This window comes from Homo sapiens, chromosome 11, assembly GCF_000001405.40.
Source record: "Homo sapiens chromosome 11, GRCh38.p14 Primary Assembly".
NCBI classification, from domain to species: domain Eukaryota; kingdom Metazoa; phylum Chordata; class Mammalia; order Primates; family Hominidae; genus Homo; species Homo sapiens.
In genome coordinates, this window is record NC_000011.10 from 20,390,267 (window position 1) to 20,413,091 (window position 22,825).

Genomic DNA, 22,825 nt, shown 5'->3' on the forward strand with positions numbered 1-22,825 from the left:
TGACAAGCGGTCCTTGAGAAAAGATGAATAAGTCACTCTTCTAGACAAGATTCACTGTATTTAAGCTTATATTAGCTTTTCAACTAAAAACAAAAACAGACTTGGCATGTGATTACATTTTTACATTTTATGTGATTACATATTAGATTTAGGGAGAGCAAGTGTAGATGTAGGACTTGAAAAAGGACGCAGGTCATTTGAAAAAAGACAATCAGCTCAAAGCATGACATGAACTTCACAGCCTACGAGACTGAGTTTTATACAAAGTTCGGTAGAGACTGGAAAAAGAGTGATGAAGTTAAGATTAATATGCAAAATACTCAGGTGATGTTTCTATTGAAACTTTTATTTAAACACACTTGCCTTACAATTAAGGCCTTCCACTTTAAATGGATGTAGAAGAGCTATACTACAATAAAATTAACTAAATAGGCCAGGTGCTGTGGCTCACGCCTGTGATTCCAACACTTTGGGAGGCCAAGGCAGGTGGATCACAAGGTCAAGAGATTGAGACCATCCTGGCTAACCCAGTGAAAACCTTTGGGAGGCCAAGGCGGATGGATCACAAGGTCAGGAGATCGAGACCATCCTGGCTAACCCAGTGAAAACCCAACTCTACTAAAAATACAAAAAATTAGTCGGGCATGGTGGCATGTGCCTGTAGTCCCAGCTACTTGGGAGGCTGAGGCAGGAGAATTACTTGAACCCGGGAGGCGGAGGTTGCAGTGAGCTAAGATCATGCCACTGCACTACAGCCTGGGTGACAGACTGAGACGCCGTCTCAAAAAAAAAAAAATAATAGGTTTTTTGGTCCCTATATTTGTTGACAACTAAGAAGGGACATTACTGAAGAATAGCAAATACTAACAGGTGTTTCAGTGTCAGATAAATACGTGATATCACATGTTTATAAATCATAAATTCAACTGCAAGTACTTTCGTAAGGCATAAATGACAGCCTCATTTTTTAATGTTTTTTGTTTTTGTTTTTTTTTTGAGACGGAGTCTCGCTCTTGTTGCCCAGGCTGGAGTGCAATGGCACGATCTCGGCTCACTGCAACCTCCGCCTCCCGGGTTCAAGTGATTCTCCTGCCTCAGCCTCCCAAGTAGCTGGGATTATAGGCATGCGCCACCACACTGGCTAATTTTGTATTTTAGGAGAGACAGGGTTTCTCCATGTTGGTCAGGCTGGTCTGGAACTCCCGACCTCAGGTGATCCGCCTGCCTTGGCCTCCCAAAGTGCTGGGGTTACAGGCATGAGCCACTGTGCCCAGCCTTAATGTTTTTAATGTTGCATTTCTAAAGTATTAGAATCATACTTAAGATAGAATTTTGTTTTGTTTTTTTTTTACTTACCGATATAGGGGGTTTGTATACTATTAAAGTTTTCTCATAACAAGAGTTTTATGACAAATAATTGGTTGGTTGGATGTATTACTGCTTTCCTTTGTTTTAAATGCTGCTTCATTTCTGGAAAGATACGAGAACCAGATAACAAGCCTTATTGGGCTTGCATCATTTAACTTCATGTAAAAGCTAGTATACACCATGTCCTGGCAAAATTATAATTTGATACACACCATAAAAATTAGGGATTTAATACTTTCAGCTCTGATATCAGTTGCCAAATACTTGGTAAAATGTGGATCTTAATTTTCCAGATTTGTATTGTTCTGACAAAGGAGGAGTAGAATTTTAGAAATCAGTTTTCCATCTTTTTAGAAATACTAGAAAAGCTTTAATTTGTCATTTATGGCTGCTTCTCAAGATATTCAGAAGTATCATTGTATTACTACTTCTAATTCTTAATAAAATTCAAAATATAAGTAGTAATTTAGAGGTCAGAATTATTTTATTGTTTAATCAGAGAAGGCTTTATAGAATAGGTCAGTTAAACAAAACTCATTATGTTAACATAGGTGAATTATCTTTTTCCCCCTTTAGGACTTGAATTTTATGGATACATTAAGCTAATAAATTTTATTAGACTTAAGGTAAGTTGACAGCTTAATTTATAATTTCGTTTAGAAATCAAAGAAATGCTACAGTGACTGTCAGTGTACTGATTATTTAAAAGAATATGAGGAACTGCATTAAATTTGGTACTCATCATATTGGGGGAATCACGGACATTAGGAGGTAGCACAGCAGAAAGCACCATGTAAATGTCTACCATAACTAACAAATATTGTTTTCACTGCATCTAAGAGATGAATCGGTGTATGTGAAAAAGTAATTCAGTGTCAAATAAAGGGAAATACTGATGGACAGGATCTGTAAAATCAGAAATAATTTCTAATGTGATTTTAAGTATTTTGGTTGCTCTTTTTTATTCTGTTTTTTTTCAGATACTTTGTTTTTTTTTTTTTTTGTCCTGTTTAAATGAATGTTTAATGACATGACAACGCTTTCCCCAAATCCAAACAGTAAAAAAAACTCTGCGTTGAAACTGCTGGTTAAGCAGTCGTCCAGCAAGTTAATGAAATGACAGGCACGTAGACTTTTTGGAGACATACTGACTTTGTGTAATGCAAACATGATTTCCTTTTTGTTTAATTTCTGTAGTTTTTACTAAGGGGATTTTGTGATTATATGTAATGAAAAAAACATGAGATTAATTTTATATCCAGAATCCTACAGTTGAGTACATGAATTCCATATACAACCCAGTGCCTTGGGAGAAAGAAGAGTATTTGAAGCCAGTATTAGAAGATGACCTTTTACTTCAATTTGGTAAGATGAACATAAGTGTATCTCCTTTAATTAACATAAGGCCGTTTGTTAACGGCAAAATGGAGGTAGAGTGTTTTAGGAAAAGACATGCTTTTTAAAATTATCTAAATGCTTCATCAGGTAGTTAGTTTCAGTAGAAAAGTTAAGTTGCTTAAAAACTAATAGTCGGCCAGGTGTGGCGGCTCACGCCTGTAATCCCAACACTTTGGGAGGCTAAAAGGGCAGATCACGAGGTCAGGAGATCCAGACCATCATGGCTAACACAGTGAAACCCCATCTCTACTAAAAATACAAAAAATTAGCCGGGCATGGTGGCGGGCTTCTGTAGTCCCATCTACTCGGGAGGTTGAGGCAGGAGAATCACTTGAACCTGGTATACAGGTGACAGAGCAAGACTCTGTCTAAAAAAACTAAAAACTCTGTGATCAAAAGATTGTCTGGTTTTGCCTTTAATTGCTTCATGTATTTTGGAGCTCTTATGTGAGGTTTATACACATTTATAATTGTTATATTTTACTGAAAAATTGGTCAGCCTTTGCAGTAATTCTTCTCTGCCCGAAAGAAGTATCCAGGTGATTTGAACATCCTGAGACAGAAGGTAGATGTAGATGTTCATCTTTCTGAATATGGTTTAGGCCTTTGAATTAGACTGTTCTAGCAAATTGTAGTTAGGAATCTTAATATTTACTGAATCCTCTTTTTTTCAAATCTCTAAGTTTAATCTTTAATATATAATTATCTGCATATTCTTAACATTAAAAAGTTTTTATTATGACTAATTTTTATTGCAGCAGAAAGCAAAACAGAAACTGGCCAAACAGTTTGAAGAATTTTGAAATCAAAATACAAAATGAGGTTTGTAGTAGGAAGTAGAAAATACAGTATACCAGCCTTATATAGTTTGGAAATATTTTGTTGTGCTGATTAATTTTTGGTGAATTAGATAGTGAATGATGCAGTTTTTAAACCTCAGTGACTCAATATTCTGCCACAGTGATGAGAAGTTAGTGACACCCTGCACTGCTTTTATAACAAGAATTCAACTTAGGCTGTAGTCTCTTATAGTATAATGCATTCGTTTGGCTTAGCTATTTTGTCCTAATTCCAAGGACGTGTCTTCACAACTAAAAAATGAATAGGAATTTTTACGAAGTCACATTTCTTCCAGTGCTATCCTGAGGGGAAAATGTAATATTTGCACTGCTCACTGCCTTAAGTTGATCCGAAAGTTAGATCAGTAAATGGACACTGATTTTGTGAAATTCACTAACTACATATATTAACTTCTCTTTGTAGAGAAGTGAAATTAAAATTAAATACTAGGAATTAGGATATTTAATAATATCAGCAATAAGACTTTAGTGTATAGATTTCACTCCACCTTGCCCAGGATGAAAAATTATTGAATGTGTAGAATTCTTTACACGCTGTCCTTAGGAATGTTTTTTTTTTCCTCCAGTTTTATTCAGGTATAATTGATAAGTGAAAATTGTGTACATTTCAGGTATACAATGTGATGATTTGATATGCATATACATTGTGAAATGATTACCATAACCAAGCTGATTAACATCATCACCTCACATTCCATTTTTTTATTTTTGTGGTGAGAACAGTTAAGATCTATTGTCTGCAAATTTCAAGTATACAGTGCAGCATTTTTAACTATAGTCACTTTACAATAGACAGATGCCCAGAACTTACTCATCTTGTAGCTGAAAGTGTGTACCCTTTGACCAACATCTCCTCATTTCCACCACCATTCCACTCTCTGCTGCTGTGAGTTTTTTTTTAATTCCACACAAGAGTGAGATCACACAGTATTTGTCTGTTTGTGTCTGGCTTATTTTGCTTCACATAATGTCCTCCATGTTCATTCATATTTTCATATATGGCAGGATTTCCCTTAAGCAATATCTGAATTTAATACCTGCTACAATAAGGACATGGGCTAGGAGGTGGCTTTGTGTAATGGGAAGAACGTGGGCTGGGAAGGCAGGTTTGGGTTTAAATCTTAGTTCCTCCATAAACAGATATATAACTTTAGGATAGTCACTTAATTTCTCTGAAATTTATTTTTTCCTTGCCTAAAATAGGGATAAATACATCTTAACTGTGTTTTGAGAATAAAACAAGATGTAATGATGTACTGGAAAGATACCTGCTGATCAATAAATATTAGGTTTTTTTCTTTCTACTTTTTTCTTTCTTCCTGGATTTGGTTGAGTATAATTAATAATTAATATTTAAATATATGTTCAGTTTAGCCAACTAATGAAAAACTTAGACTAACAGCATGCTCTTTGAATTCAAATTAAAATAGTGTAGATGATAAATATTTATTATTATTATTATTACTTTTAAGACCGAGTCTCACTGTATTGCCCAGGTTGGAGTACAGTGGTGCGATCACAGCTCACTGCAACCTCCGCTTCCGAGGTTCAAGCAATTCTTCTGCCTCAGCCTCCCAGGTAGCTGGGACTAAAGGCTCGCATCACCAGACCTGGCTAACTTTTTGTATTTTTTTTTTTTTAGTAGAGATAAGGTTTCACCAAATTGGCCAGGCTGGTCTTGAACTGTTGGCCTCAAGTGATCTGCCTGCCTCGGCCTTCCAAAGTGCTGGGATTACAGGCAAGAGCCACTGTGCAAAGCCAAGATGATTAATATTCAATTAAAAGTACTTTCACTAATCTTTCTCAATTGGCCACATAGTAGAAACTTAGGGCGTATTTATTCCTAACATATTTATACTTGTTTTATTGTTATAAGATGGCCTGATAATAATGTCCATTTATTTCTTTAGATGTAGAAGATCTTTATGAACCGGTGTCAGTACCCTTCTCATACCCCAATGGACTCAGTGAAAATACATCTGTTGTTGAAAAATTGAAACATATGGAAGCCAGGGCACTGTCTGCTGAAGCCGCATTGGCCAGAGCACGTGAGGATCTGCAAAAAATGAAGTAATTTATCAATCTTGCAAAATTAATTGTTTTAGATCTCCAGAATAATACAACCTAATGGCAAAGTAGAATATAGTAGAACATTTCATATACTGGAAAGTACAATGTAGATATTTTATCTTCATACTGTTAAAGATATGTAGCATTTTTGTACACTATGGATATAGTTAATTAATATAAAATCTTATAGTTTTACCTATTCTGATATGTTCTGACAAATGTTGTCCTCATGAATGTTTTTGTTCTTTATTGCCTTCCTTTCAGTTTTCCTGTTTGCATTGATTTCTCCATTTTACTTTTTCTATCCTAGTTTTTTAAAGTGGAAGGATTAATCTTTTTGAGGTTTGGGGAAAATACAGGGTTGAAGTTTTTAGTTTTAAAGAATCAAAATGTAGGCCGGGTGCGGTGGCTCACACCTGTAATCTCAGCACTTTGGGAGGCCGAGGCAGGAGGATCATGAGGTCAGGAGTTTGAGACCAGCCTGGCCAACATGGTGAAACCCTGTCTCTACTAAAAATACAAAAATTAGCCGGGTTGTGGTGGTGCACGCCTGTAATCCCAGCTACCTGGGAGGCTGAGACAGGAGAATTGCTTGAATCCGGGAAGGGGAGGTTGCAGTGAGCTGAGATCGCACCACTGTACTCCAGCCTGGGCAACAGAGCAAGACTTTGTCGGGGTGGGGTCGGTGGGGGGGAATCAGAATGTAATTATGGTGTAGTATGAACCCAGAAAACCAGATATACAGTGACAGTTTTTTCCAGTGAATAAATTAGCATTCTACTGGTGTAGTACTTTTCAAAGTTTAATGTGCATAGGAATCAACTGGGATCGTGTTAAAATATAAATTCTGATTCAGAAGATTGAGAATAGGGCCTGAGATTCTGCATTTCTGACAAGTATACCTCACAGGCCTTCCTGTTGGATTTGTAAGCTGTTTGCTGTTGCCTGAGTACCCATCTGATGGTTTGCCAGAATGAATGTCCAGCAGGAAAGATAGTAGAGCCAATTGTAGTTCCTCTTCCCTGTTTCAGAATTTTTATGCTAGGTAACCAAGTAACCAACACCAGCTCTACCTTTTGCCCCTTTGAACTTCTCCCTTTTATATACCTTATGGATTCCTAATATGTCATGATCTGAGAGGGATCTAAGTTTTAGAGCTGGAGTGGGCGGTGCTGGTGTATGTAAATAATTATCTATTTGGGTCTACTTTCTGCTTACATAATACTCCCAAGAAATAATATGGTTTTAAAGAATATTAATAGAGCTGAAATAAACGACATTGATTCATTTGCTAAAAAAGGATTTTAAAACAATAGAAATAATAGAGGATTATAAAAGTAATATGCTTATTTGTTCAGTTGAAAGACATAAGGAGCTACAATCTGCGGTTGGCATTGCTTTTGTGGTTTGTAGAAGGAGTATGTATAATTGTTTCTGAATATTGCCATTGCTTCAGATCCAGCAGGGGGAGCTTTCAGTTGTTCAAGATAGAATGTGATTTAGAAGACTCATCACACTGTACTCCCTCCCCTTTCCTCTTCCTCAACCTCTAGCCTTTCCTTTATTCATGGTCCAATAAACCTGTCTCAAGGGTGTATTTCAAATTGATTACAGACAATTTGCTCAGGATTTTGTGATGCACACAGATGTCAGAACCTGCTCGTCATCTACTAGTGTCATTGCGGACCTCCAGGAGGATGAGGATGGTGTTTATTTCAGCTCATACGGGCATTATGGGATACATGAAGAAATGCTAAAGGTTAGAAAAGAACACAAATGCGTCAAATCCATACTAAAGGAAAAATAGAACAGGTTCTTTCTTAATATATGTGTGCACTATAGGAGACCTCTTTTTTTTGGGTGGGGAGAACTGCTTTTTAAACACCTCTTTGGTGCTTGGTATCTCATCTTGGGTTGAAAATATTACAAGACTGGGCACGGTGGCACATGCCTGTAATACCAGCACTTTGGGAGCCCGAGGCAGGAGGATTGCTTGAGCCCAGGAGTTTGACACCAGCCTGGGCAATACAGTGAGACCCTGTCTCTATTTAAAAAAAAAAAAAAAAAAAAAGATTACAGAGGCATCAGTCATTTGTACATTCCATTTAAAATCATTAATCTTTTTATGAAATCACTTTTTCCTTAAAATATTGGAAAAACGACAATTTTAGTCTTCTCAAGGGCAGCTATTAAATAGGAACAATTAGATGGATTAAATTATATATTACCTTTTAACGTGTAAAGGAAATGATTAATTTCAGTGTTTTAAATAGCCATACTGACTTTTGTTTGGGCCAATAATAATTCTTTGATATAAAGTTTAATTATAAATCTCACAATTTTTATGGTGTAAGTTTTTTACATTTGAAATAATTGACATATAGGAGTATTTCCTGAATTGGTCAAATTAGGTACAGTTGTGCACTGCATGCTAGTGTTTTGGTCAGTCAGACTGGTGTGATGGTGCTTCCATGAGACTATAATGCCATATTTTTTTTTGTTGTTGTTGAGATGGAGTCTCGCTCTGTCACCCAGGCTGGAGTGCAGTGGTGCGATCTCGGCTCACTGCAAGCTCCGCCTCTCAGGTTCACGCCATTCTCTTGCCTCAGCCTACCGAGTAGCTGGGACTACAGGTGCCCGCCACGGCGCCTGGCTAATTTTTTGTATTTTTTAGTAGAGACGGGGTTTCACCGTAATGCCATATTTTTACTGTACCTTTTCTATCTTTAGATATGCTTAGATACACAAATACCACTGTGTTACAGTTGCCTACAGTATTCAGTACAGTGACATGCTGTACAGGTTTGTAGCCTAGGAGTAATAGGCTATCTTACAGAGCCTAGGTGTGTAGTAGGCTATATACCATCTCCATTTGTGAAGTATTCTCTATGATGTTCACACAACAACACATTTCTCAGAAGTATCCCTAGCATTAAGCAACATGTGACTGTATTTAAATCTGGCTGGTTTTAATTTTTATAACGGTAATATCCATATAAAATAGAAGTTGATTTCTAGCTATACTTGATAATTATACATTTTATTAAGTATTATAGATTGTAAAATAGGAAGATGTAATTTTTAGTTCAGTGAAATTGAGAATATCTACATAGAGTAAAATAAATGTTGGAACGTAAAATTGAAAGTTTTAGATGTTTATCTCTGAATTTTAGATGCCACCATTACCTGTTCTTAAAACCAACAAACAAAATATCCCTTTCTAAATCCTTCTTTCAGAGATTGTTTTATTTTATGGTTTCCCTGAAGCATAGGCATTTAAGCTAACCAGGGATATTTGATAACATGTATATATTTTGTTGATTCAGTTTTGCTGGATCACAGAATAGAAGTTTGGTAATTGATAATTGTACTTATATGGGGTCTTTTAAAACATTGTCATGTCATTACTAATTGCATGTCATGGTTGTGCTTTTTGTTGTCACGTAGGTAATGGCATAACATTATAAATAATAGATATGTTATTATAAGTAATACGTTATTTTAAGTCTCAGTGAATTTGTTGAAAAGAAATTGACTTGCTTCATTTTCTTTATTAAAATTAATTTTTTTATGTTTAGAGTATTTTCTTTAAAGAGGTTTATCTAGGGCCATGTTTGTCATATTAAATCACCCCATCAGCTTAAATACCATAAACCTTTCATTCCTTTGGTATGGAAATTGTGTTGGGCTTTTCAGACAGATTAAAGGTCACCGAAACTTTCAGTAGAGTGTTGAGTGTTGTGAGTACAATCATCAGGGAAATTCAGTTTGAGTACTTACCATTTACAAATCTTTATCCTGGACACTTGTATGTCAGTAACCATAAGACTTCACACCTGCTCTGGTACGTTTAACTCCTTTCAATGTACATATAGATTTAAGAAGTTCCAACTTGAAGTTTCCAGTGCCACCTTCTCCCTTTGAGAGAATCACTTAAATATCATTCTTTGTGCCTTAGCTTCCTTTAGTTCTTGTGCAGTGTAATTTCCTCCCCTTGGAAATGATTTGATTAAATGTCTATAGGACATATGGATAGTTGATTCAAAAAGAACTGTTTATTCATTTGCATTTTGCCAAGTTACGTGCCTTGGATGAATGTGAAGCATGCCTTATATCACAGCTTTATTTCTTGTTTCTTAGAACGATTCTTAGCACACATAAACTGTTCAAGGTATATTACCACTAGAATCTTACCTAATTTTTATAAATCATTTAAAATTGAGAAATCATATTTACAGGACATATTTTTATGCTTGGCATTGGCCTTGTTTTTATAGAGTATAATTTGGATTTTTTGTTGCTTGGCTTCATGTCTTTCCATGACACTATTTTTGGTACATGTTTTAATTATAATTTTAAATAAAAGTAGCTTGTGATCTTATTTCTTTAGATAAGATGAAGATACCTTTTTTGAATTCCAGAGATATGATTGATAGAGGGATAGATTACATGAACTTTCAGAATTCCTTGCCACTTTATCTTTTTGAAGAAGAGTCATCATTGGCTAACACTATAAATCCGAAATGCATCGGTCTTCTTTGTTTTAAGATAAACATTATTCATTCTGTTGTACATTTATCACAGATCATAGTACCATTTAGTAAAGTGAAATTTCAGTAATTTTTCTTTGCTGCATTCTCTTTATTGTATCTGCACCTGTCTCATGCACTTGGTCCACCTTTATGAGCTTGTAAATTAAAAACATACTGTTGCTTGTGTATGTAAAATTTGTAGTATATAACTTTTTTCTTTACCTTCATTCTTTTTTTTATATTTGTAGGAATAATTTCTTGATACTTTACTAGTCTTAAAATATTATCTTGCTCCTAAGTATTGGAGCAGTAATTTTGTTATTTTATTTTTCTTAGTTTCAAGGTTGATATAAAAAAAATTTTTAAATTTCTGTTTATTGTTGATTTGTATTGACGTGTTAGCCTTTGTTAGAATAAATTTTTAGAAATGGTTATAAAGGCTACTCTTTTATTTGCTTGCGTTTTCGTATTTATTGGATTTTTTTTTTTTCCAAAAATTAAGTGACTGAATTGAAGCTCTGCTATATACAAGACACTATGTTTTGTATACTTTGGATTTCATTACACCAGCATGAGCATACAAACAAAAACAGATTTATATATTGTAAGAGCCAGAATGAAAGATTGTAGTTTAGTTGAGCAGCAGTGCATGGCATTAGGATAGCAGTTGGAATTCTTTTGATTAAGGGGAAGTAGTGGTCAGGCAGTATGATTAGTGGGAGCTTTCTGAGTGACTGCATTCCTGACTGATGTTCACTCTGTGTAAGTTTTGTCGTTTCTGCAAAAATCACTGGTTATAGTATCAGAAGAGTGTAAAATTTGTAAAAGTGTATGAAACGGTATGCTTTGAAAAAAAGTTTTAAAATTAGATAATTAGTTAATATATATACATTTATTCATCTTAGTAATTCTTCAGGAGAAGATTTAATAATTTTTTTGTAAAGCAGTGAGAAATAATCAGAAAACATGGAATTAATTATGGACAATTCCCTTTTTAGGTCTAGTACTTAAGTAAAACAACTTGCCCTTTAAGATCTCCTTTTATGCATTAAAAAAAAACTCAGTTGGCATAAAAATGTATTGGGGGTATGAGTTGTATAAAATTTTGATATTGTAGCAATTGGTGTAATATGTTCTTTTCACCCTAATGTGAAACTTAAAACTAGAATTCCCATTCTATGATATTTATTTTTATCACAGTCATATTTTACTTACTTGACAGCAGAGCCCCTAACTGCTTAATTTGCAGTCAGTATGTGTTTCAACCTAGGGAATCAACTCTGTTCATGAACCAGCATAAATGTTAGAGTTACATGTTTGCCTTGGTCACAGGTTATGGGAGACTCCAGAGTGTAGGAGCCTTATAATGTGGGCTGCAGGGCTCAAATGATTTACTTTTAGGCTTACAGGCTTTTAAACATCATTTCCTACTACAGAAATTTTTACAGACAAAACAGGAATGTAAATCAGATAGGTGCTGATCAATGACTTTCTTAGAAAAACGTATCCAGTTTAGTGTAATTTTTTGTATGTAGCTGAAACGTATCCAGTTTAGTGTAATTTTTTGTATGTAGCTGCAATGTTTACATTTATTTACTTTTATCTCCTTTCTATTTTTGTTTTTGTTTTTTTTTGTTTTTTGAGACGGAATTTGCGCTCTTGTGGCCCAGGCTGGAGTGCAATGGTGCAATCTCAGCTCACCGCAACCTCCGCCTCCCGGGTTCAAGAGATTCTCCTGCCTCAGCCTCCCCAGTAGCTAGGATTACAGGCATGCGCCACCACACCCGACTAATTTTGTATTTTTAGTAGAGACAGGGTTACTCCATGTTGGTCAGGCTGGTCTCGAACTCCTGACCTCAAGTGATCCTCTTGCCTCGGCCTCCCAAAGTGCTGGGATTACAGGTGTGAGCCACTGAACCCAGCCTGTTATTTTTATTTCTATTTTTTTTTGGAGGCAGGGTCTCACTTTGTTGCCCAGCCTGGTCTCAAACTCCTAGCTTCAAGTGAGTATTACAGGCATGAGCCACTGCACTTGGCTTCTCCCTTATTTTAATATAGCTCTAGTACAGAGAATCAGGCTGTAGTTTCCAGGCCCTATTGAAAGGAGCAAAACATGTTCATCTTTTATTAGCTTTAATTATCACTCTAAGTCTTATGGTGATAATGCACGTCAAGAGGAAAATGTACGCATTTTTAAGAACTTGGGTCTTATTTGAGTTTCAGTCTTCATAAAATATTTTCTTTGTGTGTTGTTGCTATTTCTATTCTTTATTGTTTTCTTAGGAAAAAAATAAGCTTGGTATCCCAGGTATAAAAACTGCTATGGAAACTAGCAATGTGTGTTAATATGGCAAATATCTCCCTTAAAAAATTTATTTGTTTAGACTGTCCTATAAACACAGCGTTTTCCTCTCTCCACCCTAGGACAAAATACGAACAGAAAGCTACCGAGATTTCATATACCAAAATCCACATATCTTCAAAGACAAGGTAAGTAGTATAGGTTATAGAATTATACATTTCATCTTGTTCTTGGGCAGTAGAAATCCTCTCTTGGCTCATCATTGTGATAGCAATTGATTTAACATCTTCTGTCTGTATTTCATGGAAGACATTTATGATGCTGCTCTGTGGTGCAGAGTACCAATAACAAATGCTGATTGCTGCTGTCATTCAGTATGCTCTTTTTTAAAATTGAAAGTTATTACAATGGCGTAACTTAGTTATAATGACATAGCTTAGTTAAATTTTGCTTATTCAGATAATTTTGCTTAAACCATATTTTTTGTTTACAGTTATTCCCATGAATTTTAAATGTATCAGATAAGCACCATGTCATAGCATACTTTTAATTATTACTCTAGTTTGTGTTAAGTAATTGAGAATTAATGAGTTTAAGAACAATAAGGGTTCACTATGGTAGTATAGTATTTAGTTTATATGCTTTATTTTAATACTTTATTTACCCCATTTAGAGATACTTTGTATTTTACAATTAATTTTAATATTGGCTCAAGTTATTTAAAAAATGATCTTATACCCTGTGTGTGCATGTGCCTGTGTGTTAGAAATTTGTGTTTTTTGGCTTTTCTTCCTTACACTTTTTTTTTTCTTTATTCTCTTTTTCCCTCTCTCTTTTCCTCTCTTTATACATTGGCATGGTTACTTAAAAGTTCAGGTTTTCCGTTTGTTCTTCCTGATGGGAAACTAGTCCCCTAATTTAATCAGGAATATTATGATCTCTGCCATTTATATACCTTTCCTTGGAAATTTTTTCCCACTCTTTTTACTTTGAGAACATGTATATTGATAATGTATCAGGTTGTTATAATTCGGCTTTCATCTCTCTAAGGTTACTTCATGGGGTTTACATGATATGGCAGCAGTAACAACTTTTGTGTTTTAAAAATCCTTTTTCCTGATTTTTGTATTGTTTGGAATATAATCTGGATTGGCTTTTCATTTTCCATACCTCTTTTTTAAGAGCAGTGTTTCACTTGTGAGTTGGCTGAACTGGACAGATATACTGTAATTTATATGGTGCTCTGATCTTTTTGGCCAAAGCATTGCACCTCGTGAAAAGTTTATAATTGTTTGTGCTGATTCCCACCAGAGACAAATAAATGATTTCATTTAAAAATTATAGTTATCAGTTTTTTATATTTAGTTTTTTTTTGTATGCTTTCTATATGTTACTATAGTGGAGACTTTTCATAGTTTTTTTTTTTTTTTTTTTTTTTTTTTTTTTTTTTTTTTTTGAGACAGAGTCTCGCTTTGTCGCCATGCTGGAGTGCACTGGCGCGATCTCCGTTCACTGCAACCTCCGCCTCCTGGGTTCAAGCGATTCTCCTGCGTCAGCCTCTGGAGTAGCTGGGACTACAGGCACGTGCCACCACGCCCAGCTAATTTTTGTATTTTTAATAGAGACGGGGTTTCACCATGTTGGTCAGGATGGCCTTGATTTCTTGACCTTGTGATCCGCCCGCCTCGGCCTCCCAAAGTGCTGGGATTACAGACGTGAGCCACCACGCCGGCCCTTCATAGTTTTTGTATTTGCAAAACAAGTGCTGGAAAGCTTATTTAATGTTTGTCTAAAAACCACTCTGTTTCCAGTGAAGCAAATTATGTTGCTGTTAATGATGTTGCTTTATATTTCTAGTTGGATGATGCCCAGATTTTTATTTTATTTTTTCCTTAATATGTTATATAGAGATGAAACATGAGAATCACTAATCCTGGCTAGTCTGGAACCAGTTATATACTTTTGGGCAAGTGGTGAATCTCTTTGGGCCTAACCTGTAAGGTGATTGTAAAAATTCCTTCTGGTTCTAAAATTCTGTGGGTTTTATTACGGTGAGAGCATTATCATTGTTTTTCTTTTAGCCATCTTCTCTTAATACTTGGTGATAGGAATACCAGAGGAGCTTGTTAAGAAAGTAAGTTAGAATGTTCCTTCAGTATGCTTCTGAATGGACTTGTCTTATAATAGGTAAGTAAATACTGAAAAGGCTCAAGTATTAGTAATCATAAGATTAATCATCAAGATATTAAATATTTTTATTAAAAATGTTTTCTTTCCTTTTTTCCTTCCCTTCTCTCTCCATCCCTTCCCAGCCTCCTTTTCTTCCTTCTTTTCTTAATATTATTTCAATTCACAAAGCTCCTGTGGAGGCCATATGGTTTCTCAGATTAATTTAACTTTGGGTGGTATTTAATCGTGTTGTCACCCACTCATAATTAATTTCTGTTTGTAGTTTATTGAAGAAATTCCCAGTTAGGTGCCTTCTTTATGCTTGTGATTATTATCTACAGTTAAAATTCATTCAGTTTTTTAAGAAAAAAAATGAATCAAATTTCCTCATCATTTTATAAAATAATGTTCATTCTATTTCTACCTCTTTGATTCTATCAAATTTTAGCTAATCTGCTTGATCACCTAATTCTAAGCTAGATGTGATAAATAACTAACATACAATTAAAAATATAGGCTTTAGAAGAAGGTTAACCTGTGTTTGAATGCAGGCCCTACAATTTACCAGCTGTGTGACCCTGGACCTATTTCTTTGCCTCTCTGAAGCTCACATTCTTCATTTGTAAAATGAGAATTAAATAAGGATTTCATACACATACACATATATGCATTTGTATATACATTATATATGAATGTATGTATGGATAGTCTTACAAAAAAACACATACTCTTATTGGAATATACTAAACATATCTTTCTATACTTAACTTTCTTCACTCAGCAGCTTTTCTTGGAGAAATTCCTTATTATCTTTTTACCCCCGTGTTTTTTCTTATGGTAAATAAACATGATACAAAATTTGCCATCTTAGCTATCCCTAAGTGTATAGGTAAGTGGTATTAAATACATTTATAATGTCATGCAGCCATCACCACCTCCATCTCCAGAACTCTTCATCTTATAAAACTGGAACTGTTCTCATTAAACGGTAATTCCCCATTCTCCCTTCCTCCCAGCCCCTGGAAATCACTGTTCTACTTTCTGTCTCTATGATTTTGACTACTCATATACATCATATAAGTGGAATCTTACAGTACAGTCGTTCCTTCAGTATCTGTGAGGGATTGGTTCCAGGACCCTCTGTGGATACCAGCATCCACAAATGCTCATTTACCGGATATAAAATGGTGTAGTGTTTGCATATAACCTGCACACATCTTCCTGTGTACTTTAAATCATCTCCAGATTACTTATAATACCTAATACAATGTAAGTGCTATATAAATAGTTGTTATGCTGTATTGTTTAGAACCGTGACAAGAGAAAGAAGACTTCATGTTCAGTACAGAAGCAATTTGTTTTCCCGAATGTTTTCGATTAGCAGTTGGTTGACTCCCTGGATGGGGAACCCAGGGATATAAAGGGCTGACTGTATTTCCTTTTGTAACCGGCTTATTGCACTTAGCATAATGTCCTCAAGATTTGACCTTGTTACAGCGAATGTCAGAATTTTTTTCATTTTTAAGGCTCAATAATCCATTTTACATATGTATGACATTTTGCTTATCCATTCATTCATCTGTCTATGGATATTTGGGTTACTTATATATTAAAGCTGTTGTGAATATTGCTGCTATTAACATAGGTATACAGATATCTCTTAGGGGCCATGCTTTTAATTCTTTTGGGTATATACCCAGAAATGAAATTGCTGAGTCATATGGTAATTCCATTTTTAATTCCTTGAGAAATCACTGTGCTGTTTTTCACAGTGGGTGTACCATTTTGTATTCCCACCAGCAGTGCACAAGGGTTCCAATTTTTCCATATCCTTAGCAATACTTGTTGTTTTCTAGTTTTTTGATAATAGCTATCCTAGTTGGTGTGAGGTGATATTTATATTGATTTGCATTTTTCTAACGATTAGTGATTTTGAGCATCTTTTCATTAATATTCTTTTAATAGTTCGTATATCCAATGTAAGAATGTCCATAAGTTGTTTCAGTTTTTATGTTAGAAACAATGCTTCATATAAAATATTAAAAATATTTGTATACATATGCGAGCACAATTATAAGGTAATTTGTTAGCACTGGACTCCCTAGGTCATGAAGGGTATATACCATGTATGGTGTCACCAGTTGTGCTGCCAGCTTGTCTTTGGTACACAGCAAGGGAGTGTTGATCTTCCCAGACAGTATCACCAAAGCACTTTCAGCAAACTTCTAAATTCCACACTGATCTTTTATTTTTCATTTTTTAGTTTTGTAAATGTTTTATTTTAATGAGAGTTTCTGGAAACTTATTATATACTGTTCTATTGTGTATATTTTTCTATTTTTTCATTTTCTGCCGTACAGTATTTCAAGTTGAGGTACTATAACTGTACTGGATACATATATACTATGTAGTATACTGTTTTCTTGCCATTTTTGTTACTACGTTTTATTTGGAACTTTTAAAAAATTCTTTTTGTTTGCAGTGATGTATACAGATTGCATGTTAAAGTAAAATTCTTAATGTTTATAAAAGTAATTATGTTAAAATGTACTGACTCACCCAGACAGGCCATGTGTTCAAGAACAGACAAATTCCCACTGAAACCATCTGGGCATAGGATAGGAAGCACAAAGTAGTAGCCTTTCAACAACTTTATTTCTTCAGTGGATATCAGGATGGTTAGATTATCTCTCTTCTGGAGTCAATACTAATAAATTATAATTTCAATACGTAATGGAAAGAGCCGGGCATGGTGACTCCTGCCTGTAATCCCAGCACTTTGGGAGGCCAAAGGATTACAGGCGTGAGCCACCGCGCCTGGCCAGTTTCAGATTTTTATTGTGATCTTTTCCTAGCCAGAAACATCATAATATATGAATAGAATTTAATATAGAGACCTTTTTGATAACATCTGTTTTGTTTTGGTTTTTTCTTAATTACCCTAGGTAGTTTTGGATGTTGGGTGTGGAACTGGAATTCTCTCTATGTTTGCTGCTAAAGCTGGGGCGAAGAAGGTTCTTGGAGTTGATCAATCTGAAATACTTTACCAGGCAATGGATATTATAAGGTACATATATTTTAAGCCTTCATTTAAGATTATTTTAAAATTTAATGATTATTTAATAGATTTTCTTGTCTTTAGTAGCTATCTAAGGCAGACTAAAGACATTTGTCTTTTAGTAAAAATTCACTCCAGAATAATAAGATTTTAAGTTGAATTGAGCTAGACACATTTGAGCTATGCTGCTGAATAATCTTTTCACAGTTCTCATTGATGAGAATTATTTTTATATTGATTTCTGGCTTTCTGACTATGGCTATAAATATGCCAATTCTAATAATATAAAATTAAAAACTATTGATACTTAGAGTAATACTGACAGAGGACTCCCTACTTACTAATATATTTATTATATATTAGTAATATTTTCTTTAGCAAATACCAGTTATACTAAAGACTAAGAGTTATTTGTCTTTTCCTTTTGTAACAACACTAGTCCATGTACCTCCTTCAAATTAAGTAAATTCCAAAGTTGCTGAAAACAAGGCAGAGTGGATTTAGTTTATTACCCCCTAAAACTTTTATTCTCTAAAAATCTCTGTCTTTTGAGTATTTAGCTGGGTTGATTGATTTTACAGTTGGCTTATACCCTAGTGAGAAGGCCTTTATTTGAAATCCAGCTGACACAACTGAATTTCTTTCCCTACGTGCTTAACAAAAGCACCTTACATTTGGAACTTAGGAGTCATTTCCAGAATATGTGATTAATAGGAGGCTTCTCATAGCAACTTTTAAGTGATTCTTCAACTTACATTGCTGTTCCACTCTTAAGATTGATTAATGTTGGCCAGGCATGGTGGCTCATGTCTGTAATCCCAGCACTTTGGGAGGCTGAGGTGAAAGGATTGCTTGAGCCCAGGAGTTCAAGGCCAGCCTAGGCAAAATAGTGAGACTCTGTCCTCTATAAAAAGTGTTTTAAAATTAGCCAGGCATGGTGGTGCATGCCTGTAATTCCACCTACTTGGGAGACTGAGGCAGGAGGATTGATAGACCTGGGGAAGTGGAGGCTGCAGTGAGCCGTGATCATGCCACCGCACTCCAGCCTGGGTGACAGAGCAAGACACTTTCTCCAAAAAAAATTTTTTAAATTTGATTAATGTTGGTCTTTTCTGATTAGTTTAAAAATTTAAATATGATTATATAAAATATTTAAATTTGTTTAGATTTTATTTTATAACTAGAAGGATAGTGTTGTGGTTAGAAGAACAAGTTTGAATCAAGCTTGGGATGTAGTCTTCACTCTACCATTTAACCAGTACTTGGAACTTCGGTTAAAGTACATCTAACGTGTTAGAAATCTCAGTTGTTTCACTGTCAAATGAAACTTATAATGGCTATCTTTTGTGGTTGTAAGTAAGATGCGTAAGTTATAAATAATACGTATATATAAATCAGTTTGGCCTGTTGCCCAGCACATAGTAAATATTTTGAGGTGCATAAGTTCTAAGTAAGATATACATATAAATCAGATTGGCCTATTGCCCACCACATGTTAAATATTTGGAGCGTTAGCTATGGTTATTATTAACAAATACCAAATCAGTGTTAATGGAAAAATTGCCCTGAACTTGTTTAGGTTTTTCATAGATAATGGTTTGTGGTTGCGATTTTTGTATTGGAATACACAAACACACACACACACACACACACACACACACACACACACGTTGCATTTGCAATTATAGAATTACACATACATATATATAGATAGATATCTAGTCAAGCTTTTTCTAGTTCTTATGATACCATTAAGTACAACATGATCATTTTGGGGGTTCCATAGAGAGTACCCTCAATTGCTTATTCATTGCCATCCAAACAAATATGAGAACCACTGTCCCAAAGAAGAGATTGTTTTAGAAGAATTCTCAAAATTTTATTGTTGATAGTAAAATTATGGTGAGCTATTTCTACTAGAATTTCTAGTCTTATGAAAGCTATTTCTACTAGAATTTCTAGTACATTTATGAGTTAGTCATTGTTTTTTACGATAAAATGGGACTAGATGTGCTCTCATTTTAATTTCTTAACTCTATGAAAGAAATGTAAAGGAATTATAATACATTGTTTCATTTTATTTTACAGAAGTCCTGATTCCCATTGTCTTTGTAGAAACATGTTTATGTAATGATTACACCTAAAATTCATCGTTTATAATATTAATATTTAGTGCTAGGGTGTTCATGTCCAAGCTTCTTAGTAAAATATTTAAAATGTTTCTGACATATACATTTAACATTCAATTACTTAATGAGGAAAATGTTTTCTGACAAATTATTGCTAGAAGGAAATTAATTTTCAGTCCTTTTTTCATTGCGGTCATCTAAACACTTCGTGATATATTACTTTTGATCTAGAGTTACAGTTTTGGAGGAACGAGACACTGGAATTAAATGTGTTTCTGGTATATTGATGAGCTCCCAGCGGAAACAATTTCTAAAAAAAATTATATTTTATGATTTTTCAAAATAAATAGGTAGTTGTGTAAATCTTATAATTTAATACCAGTATTAAAAACCTTGAAAATATTTAAAAATATTATTTAAAGATATTCACAGTAATTCTATCCAGATTTAAGAACAATTTTTTTTCTGCCCACATAATCCTAAATATTTTTATTAGTTAGAAGACCTTCTAAAGTATATTTGTCACTGGTGCAGAGCCCAGAATAATTTGGGATTAATAGTCTTTGTTTTTAAAGTCTCCGGGAAAGCTACCAACTTACTTTTAATCAAAGGATGGGTGTCAATTTGCATCTATTAGTATTTTTTCTGTTAAGATAGCATCTTCTACATCAGTGGGCAAAAATAGAAGTGTGAAAGAAATATGTCCCTGATTCAGCAAGTGACATCTGCAGTCACAAAGGAGTGCTTTTCCATGTACTCAAATACAATAAATTGCTCCTCCCTTCTCATCTTTAGATCTTTCACTTATAAAGCCAGAGCTAACAGAATGTCTCTTTAGCAATACTTACAGGATTCGATACAAAGATGTTTTTGAGATAACTTAAAGTTAACTCAGCTAAGTAAGCACATAACTAAAAGTATTTTAACAAGATTTTTATATAGTAATAATGAGATTTAAACCCAGCAATCTAGCATAATAGCTTTTCATTAAAATTATTAGGGTTCAAGATACCTAAGACCTAAAATTTGAGCTCTGTCAGTTTCTTAGGATAAAATAGGTAGAGACATGTGACTTATTTGGATAAGGATCCTCTGTCTGTAATCATTGACTCAAAATACTTGTCTTCAGTCTTTTCTGTGTGTATTTTTGGAAAGGGAGTCTGATCATTTTGTCAGCCAGATTTTTGAATCTCGAACACTAATTTTAATGTAGTGAAGTAGGAAGTACATATGTCAAACTAGTCTTTGCTGTGTCAAATATTTTATGCTTACCAATGTTTATTCTCTCAATCTTGTAAAGTGTCATTTTTGTAAGATTTCCTGCTAGCTCCAAAGTATATCTAGAATCTTTGCTTGAGTGTCAGATGTAGTTATAGGAAGGAAGCATAGATAAGAAGTGCAGTGAAGAAATCAAAATCAGTTTCACTACTGCAAATAATTATTTTCTTGCTGTAATGTTAGCAGTCAGAGAAATAGCATTTGTGACAAAGATCACTACTAACCATGGAGAGTATAACAAAATGACTAAAACTTAAGTTTATATTCAGTTAAAGTACCAATTTAGCTAAGTGAACATTTTGCATAGAGCACATATTTACTATAAATAGGCTTTTGCAAAAAATAATCACATTTTAAAAAATAGTTTTAAAACATTGCACATGAGAGCATATACCTAGAAGCTTAGTGAGGAAAAGTTTTATTATACAGCAGGTTCACAGTTGATTCAGAGGGAACAGCCATGTATTGTGACTTTGTGATAATGGATTTTTAACAAAACAAATTGTATCCACATAAGACTTGTTTTTTTCTAATTATCTATAAAGCTCCTGCATATGTTATTTTCCCCCTTTGTACAGTGTGGAAATTGAACAAGTAGATGTATTTAAAGGACTAAAGAAGCAGACTTATTATTATCTCACAGTTTTTAGTACTAATGACCAAGCTTGTACTCTAGTTGCTTGTTGAATGCTTTGTCACTCAATTCCTAGTTTTCTTTTCAGATGGAAACTATCAAAGGCTATAGTTGTTATTATCAAGATCCAGTGATATTTGTGTAGACCTTTTTGTCTTACCTCATGCTAGATGGCCATGTTTAAGATTCATTATAGACATTATTTTTGCCAATCATTACTAGAGTCATGGTCATCAGAGCAGAGGGAAGCATTTGTTCACCAGATCCATTTTGCAAAAATATGAATTTTTAAAAATCTGTTCACAAAACTGTTGAACAGCTATGTAGTCTGAACCCCCCCCCCACCTTTGTTTTGAAGTATCAGAGAGTTCCTTAAAAGGATTTTTGAAATTTTCAGCCATACATGACAGTAGAGAGAATGATATGAATTCCTGTGTGCCTATCACCCGCGTCTACATTTATCAATTTTTCACGATTTTTTTTATACATTTCCCTCCCACCTTTTTTGTTTTGTTTTTGTTTTTGTTGGAGTATTTTAAAGTGAAACTTATACATTATATCAGTAAATGTGTCCTAATACATTTGAGTGTTGGTGCATGAGAACATTTATTGAAAATGACTTAGCACTCAATCTTTAGATATCCCAGTTTAATAATAAAATTGCTAACATTAATTTAGTTTTTTCTATTGAATCTCCTTTGGTGCAGGTGTAACTGAATCTCCTTTGATGTAGATTATTTATACCTATTATAAGAGATTAAGAGGCTGGGCATGGTGGCATGTGCCTGAGGCAGGAGAATCACTTGAGACTAGGAGTTGGAGGCTGCTAGTGTGCTAGGATTGAGCCTGGGCAACATAGTGAGACTCTGTTTCTATAGTGGGGTCAGAATTAGTTACCAGGCAGCCTGACTCCATAGCTTATCCTCATAGCCAGTTTGCAATTCCTTATCTCCATTGAACTACTTACAAGGTATGTATTGGTTGTATTCAGTAGTTTGCTTTACTTAAAACCTATGGATGTTTGAAA

General features: G+C 34.5%; 1 protein-coding gene across 6 annotated transcripts in view; it reads left to right on the forward strand.

Moving 5' to 3' along the window:
• PRMT3 (protein arginine methyltransferase 3) overlaps window positions 1–22,825 on the forward strand; it is a 121,623-nt gene that overhangs the window by 2,551 nt on the left and 96,247 nt on the right. For 3 of the 6 annotated variants that reach the window (NM_005788.4, NM_001145167.2, XM_047426228.1), the window contains 6 exons: window positions 1,945–1,994; window positions 2,631–2,733; window positions 5,537–5,696; window positions 7,311–7,455; window positions 12,653–12,718; window positions 17,645–17,766. In NM_005788.4, coding sequence (NP_005779.1) covers window positions 1,945–1,994; window positions 2,631–2,733; window positions 5,537–5,696; window positions 7,311–7,455; window positions 12,653–12,718; window positions 17,645–17,766 — 646 coding nt within the window. The other 3 variants (NM_001145166.2, XM_047426227.1, XM_011519836.3) reach the window with 2 other exon arrangements.